Below are 11,012 nucleotides of genomic sequence, written 5' to 3'. Positions count from 1 at the left end.
GAGATCGCGCCACTGCACTACAGCCCGGGCTGTAGATTGAGTGAGACTTGTCTCTAAATAAATGAATAAATAAATAAATAAATAAATAAATAAATAAATAAATAAATGCATTCTTTTCCGTGCTGACTGACACTTGCAGGCATCGGTTGTCTTCGGGCATCACCTAGCAGCCACTGCTATTGAAAGTCGAGGTGACACGGAGGGAAGTCTTGCTGACTTCACCAAGCCTGGGGCAACGGGTTTCTATCTCTCCCTTCTGGAGGCCCCTCCCTCTCTCCCTCCGTTGCCTAGGGAACCTCCGCCCTGGCGGGGGCCCTATTGTTCTTTGATCAGCGCTTTAGTTTTCTTCGTGTGTTGGTTTCTTTCATGCGCATTGACCCTTCCACTTGGGTTTTAGGAGAGGTCAGTTTAATTTTCAAGTTGCCCCCCCGGATCCCCCCTCCCCAGGTCCCTTTACCTTCATTTAGTGAATCAGTTAGGTGGGTTCCCCCCAAACCCCCCACTCCCCGCCTCCCAACACCCTGCTTGGAAACCCGGAGCCACCCCGGTGCGCCTCCCTCTTCTCTCCCCTTCTAACACCCCTTGCCGGCGATCTCATTCTTGCCAGGCTGACATTTGCAACGGTGGGCGTCAGGCCTCACTCAGTGGCCACCGTTTTTGAAGATGAGGGTGGCATGGTCCCACTTCCCCAGAGACAGCTTGGACCGATGGCATAGCCCTTGACCCGCGTGGGCAAGCGGGCGGGTCTGAAGTTCTGGGGTTTTCCCCAGCTTCCTTCCTCAGGCCTCCCTCCCTAGGAAAGCTTCACCCTGGCTGGGTCTCAATCACATTTTATCATGATGTTTTAGTTTCTCGCCCTCTGGCCAGCATAGTTTCACAATGGGAACGGCGTCACAGCTCTAGTCTGGGCCTTCTTAGTATTTGCCCAAAATAGAAACGCTTTCTGACAACTAATACTTTGCTCACTTAAGATTTCCAGGGACGGTGCCTTGGCCCGTGTTTGTGGTTTTGTTTTGTTTTGTTCTTGTTTTTCCTTTTTAGTATGTATTTCTTTTCAGGTGAAGTAGAAATCCCCAGTTTTCAGGAAGACGTATATTTTCCCCAAGACATGTTAGTTGCTGTTTTCTCCTGTTGTTAACTAGCGCTTTTGTGAATCTCTCAACGTGTAGTGAGAGCCGGTTAATATTTACTATACTTCAGAACATCTTATTTTCTAGAAATCCGTAAGCAAATGCTGCTGCTGCTCTTGTTGCTGTTGTTGTTGTTGTTGTTGTTTTCAAAGCACACCCGGGCCACCGTTTATGGGATCAAAAGCGTTATAAAATATGTGTAATTATTTCCTGAGCAAGCCCTTCCTCCTCCTCTCTCTGTCTCTCTGTCTCTTCTCTGTCTTCTCTCTCTCTCTCTGTCTCTATCTCTCTGCCTATTTCTCTCTCTCTCTCTCTCTGCCTGTCTCTCTCACTGTGTCTGTCTTCTGTCTTACTCCCTTTCTCTGCCTGTCTGTCTCTCTCTCTCTGCCTATCTGTCTGTCACTGTCTCTCCCTCTCTCCCTGTCTGTCTGTTTCTCTCTGTCTCTGTCTCTGTTTCTGTTTGTTTCTCTCTGTCTCTCTCTCTCCATCTCTGTCTGTCTCTCTCTTTCTTTCTCTCTGTCTCTGTCTGTCTCTCTCTGCCTGTCTCTCTCACTGTGTCTGTCTTCTGTCTTACTCTCTTTCTCTGCCTGCCTGTCTCTCTCTCTCTCTCTTTGTTTCTCTCTATCTCTGTCCGTCTCTGTCTTTCTCTGTCTGTCTCTTTGTCTGTCTATCTGTAACTCTCTTTCTTTCTCTGTCTCACTGTCTCTGTCTCTCTCTCTCTGTCTCTCTCACTGTGTCTGTCTTCTGTCTTATTCTCTTTCTCTGTCTGTCTGTCTGTCTGTCTGTCTGTCGGTCTCTCTGTCTCACTCTCTCTCCCAGTCTCTCTGTTTGTCTCTCTCTCTCTGTCTGTCTGGTTTTTTTTCTCTCTCTCTCTTTGCCTGTCTGTTTCTCTGTCTCTGTCTCTCTCTCTGCCTGTCTCTCTCTCTCTCTCTCTCTCTGTCTGTCTTCTGTCTTACTGTCTTTCTCTGCCTGTCTGTCTGTCTGTCTCTCTCTCTCCTTGTCTGTTTCTTTCTCTGTCTCCATCTGTCTCTCTCTCTTTCTGTCTGTTTCTCTCTCTCTCCCTCTGTCTGTCTCTGTCTTTCTCTCTCTGTCTCTTTCTCTCTGTCTGTCTCTCTCTTTCTCACTGTTTCTCCATCTGTCTCTTTCTCTCTTTCTTTGTGTGTGTGTGTCTGCCTTCTGTCTTACTCTCTTTCTCTGCCTGTCGGTCTTCCTGTCTGTCTGTCTCTCTCTCTCTGTCTGTCTCTCTCTCTTTCTGTCTCTATCTTTCTTTCTGTTTCTCTCTCTGTCCATCTCTGTCTTTCTCTGTGTCTTTATCTGTCTGTCTCTCTCTTTCTGTCTTTCTCTCTTTGTGTATCTTTGTGTCTCTCTGTCTGTCTCTCTGTGTCTCTGTCTCTGTCTCTCTCGCTTGCTCTCTGGCTCTCGCTATCTCCCACCCTCTCTTTCTTTGCAAAATAAGTTCAAGTACATCTAATCTAATCCATTACCACGGCCTGAATTCTTAACTTTAGACATCCCAGATATGATCTCCCTACAGAATGCTGTAAAGAACTGGTGAGTTGATTTCTGGACTTGGATACCTCATAGATACTACATATTAATAAAGATCCAACCCTAAAATCTGGGGTTGTGTCTCCCTCGACTGTCTCAAAAAGGCATACCTCTGTTCACCTAGGATGCTGGGAGGGTTTTCTCAATGTGCCTCTGCTCGTGTCCTACATGACCTGTGACCGAGCCCTGTCCCTTCTGTCTCAAATATGTATCTGCAAACACTTCTTTCCATTTCCACAACTACCCACAGCCCATTGTGGAACCACTGGCTCTTTGAAAAAAATCCCAGAAGTGGCTTTGGCTTTTTGGCTAGGAGGCCTAAACTTTAACGTAGCTTTTTCCAATTCTGTGAAGAAAGTCACTGGTAGCTTGATGGGGATGGCAAAGGGATCTAGAACTAGAACTAGAAATACCATTGACCCAGCCATCCCATTACTGGGTATGTACCTAAAGGACTCTAAATCATGCTGCTATAAAGACACATGCACATGTATGTTTATTGTGGCACTATTCACAATAGCAAAGACTTGGAACCAACCCAAATGTCCAACAATGATAGACTGGATTAAGAAAATGTGGCACATATACACCATGGAATACTATGCAGCCATAAAAAATGATGAGTTCATGTCGTTTGTAGGCCCATGGATGAAATTGGAAATCATCATTCTCAGTAAACTATCACAAGGTTAAAAAACCAAACACCGCATATTCTCACTCTTAGGTGGGAATTGAACAATGAGAGCACATGGACACAGGAAGGGAAACATCACACTCACTCTGGGCACTTGTGGAGTGGGGGAGGGGGGAGGGATAGCATTAGGAGATATACGTAATGCTAGATGACGAGTTAATGGGTGCAGCGCACCAGCATGGCACATGTATACATATGTAACTAACCTGCACATTGTGCACCTGTCCCCTAAAACTTAAAGTATAAAAATAATTAAAAAATAAAAATAAAAAAAACCCTCACCAGTTACAAGGGGATGGGGGAGGCCGAGCCAGAATGACTTATTTACCCTGCCGACTCTGGGAAGCCCAGCCCCATGTGATCCATTGCAAACTGAGAATCACCTCATATTTGGAAAATGGATCCGCTCCCAAGTTCAGTGGAGGGATGTGGCATGTAGGACAAAGGACTCTCTTCCTTATGATTGGGTCTGCACAGTGGGGCCTGGGGCTGGAGCTCTCTCTGTGCAGACTGCTGATTCCCTCTACCTTGGGTTCCATCAGCCCCACCCTGGGACACGGACCTTGACAGATTCTGGCCCTTCCTGGCCCTTAAGTCGCTGTCAGAAACCCCATCTCGTGCTCAGATGCCCCAATGACTGTGGCTCACACCTCTCTGGAAACACTGGAAATCTCTCCTCTACGCATGGTCACCTAAAACCCCAGGAGCTCGGGACACCCGGCCGCCATCCACCTCACTGCTTTCGGGAGAGAATGCTGAGAGTCTCTTACCAACTCTCTCTTGACTTGAGTTATTCATGGGTGTGTGGTTAAGATGTAGAGGGACCAGATGTATTAACTCAGGCCGGGTGCTGGTGGCTCACGTCTGTAATCCCGACACTTTGGGAGGCCGAGACCGTAGGATCCCTTGAGGAATCACCTAACCCTGGGGAGGTTGAGGCTGCAGTGAGTGAGCCATAATGGTTTCACCTCACTCCAGTCTGGGCGAAAGACAGAGTGAGGCCCTGTCACAGGCCGGCAGGTAGGCAGGCAGACAGACAACAGCTGTATTATGTTCTTCTCAGGGTAGGAAGTAAAAATAACAGAATACAGCGCTTAATTTTTTTTTTTTTTTTTTGGGACGGAGTTTCACTCTTGTTGCCCACGCTGGAGTGCAACGGCACCATCACAGCTCACTGCAACCTCCACCTCCCATGTTCAAGCAATTCTCCTGCCTCAGCCTCCTGAGTAGCTGGGATTACAGGCACGTGCCACCACACCTGGCTGATTTTGTATTGTTGGTGGAGACGGCATTTCTCTATGTGGGTCAGGCGGGTCTCAAACTGGCCACCTCAGGTGATCTGCCCACCTCGGCCTCCCAAAGTGCTGGGATGACAGGCGTGAGCAATTGCGCCCACCCAGCTACGTTTTTTTTTTTTAATTTTCAATTTTAATCTATTTATTATTATTATTATTTTTTGAGACGGAGTCTCGCTCTGTTGCCCAGACTGGAGTGCAGTGGCGTGATGTCGGCTCACTGCAAGCTCTGCCTCCCGGGTTCAAGCCATTCTCCTGTCTGAGCCTCCCAAGTAGCTGGGACTACAGGCAACCGCCACCACACCTGGCTAATTTTTTGTATTTTGAGTAGAGACGGGGTTCAAGTGGTAGCCAGGATGGTCTCGATCTCCTGACCCCCGTGATCCGCCCGCCTCGGCCTCCCAAAGTGCTGGGATTACAGTCGTGAGCCACCGTGTCTGGCCTATTTATCTATTTATTAACTTTGTGTCCAGGTTATGAAGCCAGTTACTTTTTGTATTTTTTTAGAGACGAGGTTTCACCATGTTGCCAAGGCTCGGATCGAGGGATCCACCTTCCCTTGCCTCCCAAAGTGCGGGGATGACAGGCTTGAGCCTACCTCGCCCAGCTCCCCCCCTTCCCCCCCCAGCTTATCCCTCAAGTGCCCGAGGCCGAGCGGTGGTGTGTGGTTTCCACCCCCCGCGCCCCCTCCTCCGGTCGCCGCCACAGTGTTCGCAAGTGCGTCCTGAGGGAGCTCGTTGGTGTGGGGGTCGAGGCGGTTGAGATGCGTCCCCCCCACGTGGGGAAGGGTGCCGCCTGGTCTGGCGAGTGCAGGTCTCGTGCTCCCCTCTGGCGGGTGCGTGCGGGCCGTGTGAGCGATCGAGGTGGGCTTGGGCAGGTGACGCGTGCACCGGCCGGCCACCGAGGGGCTACTGTTCTGCCTCTGACAGGTTGTGTGTGGGTTTACTTGGAGGTGCTTTGCCTGGGAGAAAGGAGGCTGGGGGACGGGGGAGCTCTTGGGGGATTGCGCCCACGTGCAGTGGCCAGGCCCCCCGCCCAGACCACGAAGGCTCAAGGTTGCCGCAAGCAGATTTTTCCTGGTACCGCGGGCCCCCTCCCTTCCCCAGGCATCCCTGAGCGCCTCTGCGGGCCCGAGGAGGGGCGACTGGCGGGTAGGGAATGTGACCCACCCTTGGTGAGAAAGCCTTTTCTAGCGATCCGAGAGGTGTGCCTTTGGGGTACCAGATTCTCCGGCCTGCCACTTCTCTCTGCTTTATGATAGCGCTGCCATAGCAACTCGCTTGGAGAGGACCCTCCTCCACTTCCCCCTCGACGGGGTGAGTGGGGGAGAGCGAGGGTTCCACCGGCCTCCGCGGTGGGGACCGAGGGTGGCTCATTGCCTACCGTGTGGCCCGTGCCTCCCCCTTCCGAGTCGGGGGAGAATCCCGCCGGGACGGGCCGGCGTCCTAGCGCTTGGAAGTCTGCGCGAGCGGTGGCTGTGCCCGGCATTCCATCCGGCACATGAACTGCTCTGCTGTGAGACGGCTCTCTGCCCGCTCCCGTGGGGACCAGCGACCGGGGCCGACGACCGCGTTTGCATGGAACGGGTTTGGGCCACCTGGCCCTGGGAAGCATCCCAAGTGGGGGGCTTGACCAGGTTGGAGGATGGACAAGAAACGAGCAACGTGGCCCTGGCATTGGGTTTGTGGCTGAGGTCGCTTCGGGGTCCCGATGGCGGGAACTAGGGCTCGAGAGGCGGGTCTCCGTGGGTGCCGAGGGCCGTCCGGCATCCCAGGCGGGGCGCCGCGGGACCTCCCTCGTGTCTGTGGTGGTGAGATCCCATGGCCGTGTTTTCCTGGTGGCCCAGCCGTGCCTGAGGTTTCTCCCCGAGCCGCCCCTCTGCGGGCTCCCGGGTGCCCTTGCCCTCGCGATCCCTGGCCTTGCCTGTCTGTGCAGCCTACCCCGCCCGCGGATCCTCTCTCCCCGAGTGGCTCACTGGCTTAGGCTGCGGTGGCCCCGTCTGGGACCAAACCCGGCTCTGCCTTGTGGGGCGCCGCCGCCGGCCACTGGTTGGCCCGTTGTACCTGTCCCCGGGCGCGCGCCTTCAGGACCAGGTCGGCGGCGCCCCGCGTGGGCCTGGTGGGCGCCCGGAGGGTTTGGAGTCGGCCTGCAGCGGGGGCAGGGAAGAGGGTTCCGTGGGCTGGCCGCGACTGCAGCGGCAGTGGGGGAGCCGCGGGCCTGCCAAAGGCCAGTCGGCCGCCCCAGGTACCGCGCGGGGCCACCTTCGTGCTTGGAGGCCGCTGACGATGAGACCCCAGGCACCGCGGTCCACCTCTCCTTCGCTGCCCAAACGTCGAGGCCGCCCCGCGCCCGCCACGTGCTAGTGGCCGCCGGTCCCTTGCGGCTGCCACACACTGGTCGGGAGGTCTGTCTCCTGGCAGGTGGGCTCGAAGGGTCGGGAGTGATGAGCCCGTCACGGGGTGTTGTGTCGTGTGGGTGGATGGGATGTCCAGTTCGCCACCCCACCGCCCCCCTCCCACCGCCCCGCGCTGCTCTCTCCCTCCCACATTACCCGTCACCCGCCCTGCTGGGCCCATCCTCAAGACTGGGATGCCGGGCTCATCATCGTGAGGCCCGGAGGCCACTTTCTACCTACATGGTTGATCCTACCAGAACGATATGCTTGTCTCAAAGATTAAGCCATACATGTCTAAGTACGCAGGGCCGGTACAGTGAAACTGTGAATGGCTCATTAAATCAGTTATGGTTCTTTTGTTTGCTCGCTCCTCTCCTACTTGGAAAACTGTGGTAATTCTAGAGCTAATACATGCCAAAGGGCGCTGACCCCCTTCGCGGGGAAGATGCGTGCATTTAGCAGATCAAAACCAACCCAGTCAGCCCCTCTCCAGCCCCGGCTGGAGGGTCAGGTGCCACTGGCTTTGGTGACTCTAGATAACCTCAGGCCAATTGCACGCCCCCAGTGGCAGCGATGACCCATTGTAAAGTCTGCCCTATCAACTTTCGATGGTAGTCGCTGTGCCTACCATGGTGACCACGGGTGACAAGGAATCAGGGTTCGATTCTGGAGAGGGAGCCTGAGAAATGGCTACCACATTCAAGGAAGGCAGCAGGCATGCAAATTACCCACTCCCTACTCGGGGAGGTAGTGATGAAAAATAACAATACAGGACTCTTTCGAGGCCCTGTAATTGGAATGAGTCCACTTTAAATCCTTTAACGAGGATCCATTGGAGGGCAAGTCTGGTGCCAGCAGCTGCAGTAATTCCAGCTCCAATAGCGTATATTAAAGTTGCTGTAGTTAAAAAGCTCGTAGTTGGATCTTGGGAGCGGGCGGGCGGGCGAGCCATGGCCCGTCCCCGCCCCTTGCCTCTTGGCGCCCCCTCGATGTTCTTAGCTGAGTATCCCGTGGCCCTAAGCTTTTACTTTGAAAAAGTTAGAGTTTTCAAAGCAGGCCCGGGCCGCCTAGATACCGCAGCTAGGAATGATGGAATAGAACCGCGGTTCTATTTTGTTGGTTTTTGGAACTGAGGCCATGATTAAGAAGGACGGCTGGGGGCATTCGTATTGCGCCACTACAGGTGAAATTCTTGGACCGGCGCAGTTCGGACCAGAGCGAAAGCATTTGCCAAGAATGTTTTCATTAACCAAGAACGAAAGTCGGAGGTTCGAAGACGATCAGATACCATCGTAGTTCCGACCATAAAAGATGCCGACTGGCGATGCGTGCGGCAGTGTTATTTTCATGACCCACTGGGCAGCTTCCAAGAAACCAAAGTCTTTGGGTTTTTGGGTTCCCGGGGGGAGTATGGTTGCAAAGCTGAAACTTAAAGGAATTGGTGGAAGGGCACCACCAGGAGTGGAGCCTGTGGCTTAATTTGACTCAACACGGGAAACCTCACCCGGCCCAGACACAGACAGGATTGACAGACTGATAGCTCCTTCTCAATTCCATGGGTGGTGGTGCATGGCCTTAGCTGGTGGAGTTATTTGTCTGGTTAATTCCGATAACGAACGAGACTCTGGCATGCTAACTAATTACGTGACCCACAAGCGGTCGGTGTCCCCCAACTTCTTAGATGGATAAGTGGCATTCAGCCACCCGAGATTGAGTAATAACAGGTCTGTGATGCCCTTAGATGTCCGGGGCTGCACGTGCGCTACACTGACTGGCTCAGCGTGTGCCTACCATACGTGGCAGACGTGGGTAACCTGTTGAATACCATTGGTGATGGTGATCGGGGATTGCAATTATTCCCCATGAACGAGGAATTCCCAGTAAGTGTGGGTCATAGGCTTGTGTGAAGTCCCTACCCTTTGTACACACCGCCAGTTGCTACTACTGATTGGATGGTTTAGTGAGGCCCTCAGAGCAGCCCCGCCGGGTCAGCCCACTGCCGTGGCCGAGCACTGAGAAGACAGTCGAACTTGACTATCTAGAGGAAGTAAAAGTCGTAACAAAGTTTCTGTAGGTGAACCTGTGGAGGGATCATTAACGGAGCAGAATGAAGCCACAGAGGCGCCAACGTGTCCTTCCTCCTTGGCCGACCGTGTTCCCCGTGCAGCACGTGTGCTGGTGGGGTTGTGCCCTTTGTTTGTTGCACGGCCCCGCCTGCCCCGAGAGCAGGAGAACTCGGGAGGGAGAGAGGGGGTAGAGAGAGACACGCGTGCGGGGACGAAACTGTGTGTGCGTGTCGTGGGGTGGGCTGGATGGCTCGCCGGCCTGGTGAGCAGTGGGGAGCGGTCCCCTGCCATGGCCCCCACGTGTGTGTTGGCAGGCACGGGGTGGTTCTCAGCGTCACGGTGGGGTGTGGGTCTCTGTGCCCTCCCTGCCGAGGCCGTCGTCCCGCCCTGTCCTGCCGGCTCGGCCCCATCTTGCCTGCTCCTGTCGGGGCTGGCCGGGTTCCCATCGCTGCCACTGGCACCATCATCGCCTCTGCCACACCGCGCCACTGGGCTCGGCCCGGCCCGCTGGCTCTCCCCAGCCTTCCCACTAGGGCTTCTCGAGGGTAGGGGGCCGGACGCCAGTACCCCGCTCCTTGTCCGCCCCTGCCATCCAGGTACCTAGTGCGTTCTGGAGCGGAGTTTTAAGGACCCCTTGGGGGGTCACCTGTCCATCTGTGGGTCGGGTGTCGTGGGCGCACGGGGGAGTCCATTCGGGAGGGGCCCGCCCCTCCATCACCTCCCCCGCCGACTCCGTCTCCCCGGCCGGCCGGGGCTGTGCCGCTCTCGCGTGTCGCCGCTGACGCTGGTATGGGCTTTTCCCAGTGGCCGTCACGCTATCGCGTGCATGCTGCGCATGTGGCTTGTGCCCCACGCTGTGGGGGCAGGAACCCCTTGGTGCCCGTAGGGTGGTGTCAGCATTCGCCCCCCCCAACCCCCGTGGTTGGCACCACCTCCCTGTGTTGTGAAACCTTCTGACCCCTTTCTGGAGGCTCATCCCCTTGCTGTCTGACTGGCCGGTCTGAGGTAACCCCTCTGGAGGACGTGCTGTGCCAGGTGGGCCTCACATTGTTGGGAGCACCCTAGCCAAATTGACCTTGTATGACTTTTAGCGGTGGATCACTCAGCTTCTGCATTGATGAAGAATGCAGCTAGCTGTGAGAATTAATGTGAATTGCAGGGCACATTGATCATTGACACTTTGAATGGACTTGTGGCCCGGGTTCCTCCCAGGGTTATGCCTGTCTGAGTGTCACTTGCCAATCAATAGCCCCTGGGGGTGCCTCCGGGATCCTCAGGGTGCACGGTTGCGGGTTCCGTGGCAGGGCACGTCGGTGCCCTCCGTCCTCCCAAGTGCAGACCGGTGATGTCTGCCCTCCTCTCCTGCTGTGCCTGCCCCTTCCCCCTCCCCTCACAGGCCCGGTGTGGTCACGCGTTGGGTGGCGTGGGGAAGGGGGGCTCCTGGCTGTGAGGAAGAGAGAGAGGGCGGCACCACCACCCGCGAAAACATAGAGGGAATAGAGCTGGCTGGGGTCGAGTTCCCTTGGCCACCAACGCGGTCCGGTTTCCTCCCTCGGGGGCTCCCTCGTGCCTCACACAACTCGTTGTGCAGGGTTTGTTGACCCTGGTGGGGTGAAAGGTCCCATGCCATCATCGTCATCGTGTGTCATCAGTGGTGGGGGCTAGTTGGGCGGGAAGGCAAGTAGGAAGGGTCCACCGGGGAGAGGGTTGGGGAGCATGTCCCCGTCGCCGCAGTTCACCGCTTGCCCCTGGTGGCGGCCTGGCGACTGGCCGACCACCGCTCCAGCGCCCCTCCTCCCCAACACCCCTCTGAGGCACAGTCCTCCTCGCCAGCCTGCCCCTCGCCTGCCCGGCATGTGACGCGGTGTGTCCGGGACTGAAAGC

General features: G+C 55.2%; 3 pseudogenes, besides 1 other annotated feature; 2 read left to right on the top strand and 1 right to left on the bottom strand.

Annotated features, from left to right (window-relative positions):
• Positions 1 to 11,012: part of a centromere (Linear centromere model derived predominantly from reads generated in PMID: 17803354. This region does not represent an actual centromere sequence, as long-range ordering of repeats and unmapped WGS contigs is not provided by the model. For details of model production, see http://arxiv.org/abs/1307.0035.) that runs on past both edges of the window.
• On the bottom strand, positions 3,963 to 7,243 carry LOC107987277 (serine/arginine repetitive matrix protein 1-like; annotated as a pseudogene).
• Positions 7,300 to 9,159, top strand: LOC110467538 (RNA, 18S ribosomal pseudogene; annotated as a pseudogene).
• Positions 10,211 to 10,362, top strand: LOC110467521 (RNA, 5.8S ribosomal pseudogene; annotated as a pseudogene).

The sequence above is a fragment of the Homo sapiens genome, chromosome 20, assembly GCF_000001405.40.
Source record: "Homo sapiens chromosome 20, GRCh38.p14 Primary Assembly".
In the NCBI taxonomy this organism is placed as follows: Eukaryota; Metazoa; Chordata; class Mammalia; order Primates; family Hominidae; genus Homo; species Homo sapiens.
The sequence above is the reverse complement of the archived record's forward strand: the minus strand, read 5'-3'. Positions and strand labels throughout refer to the sequence as shown.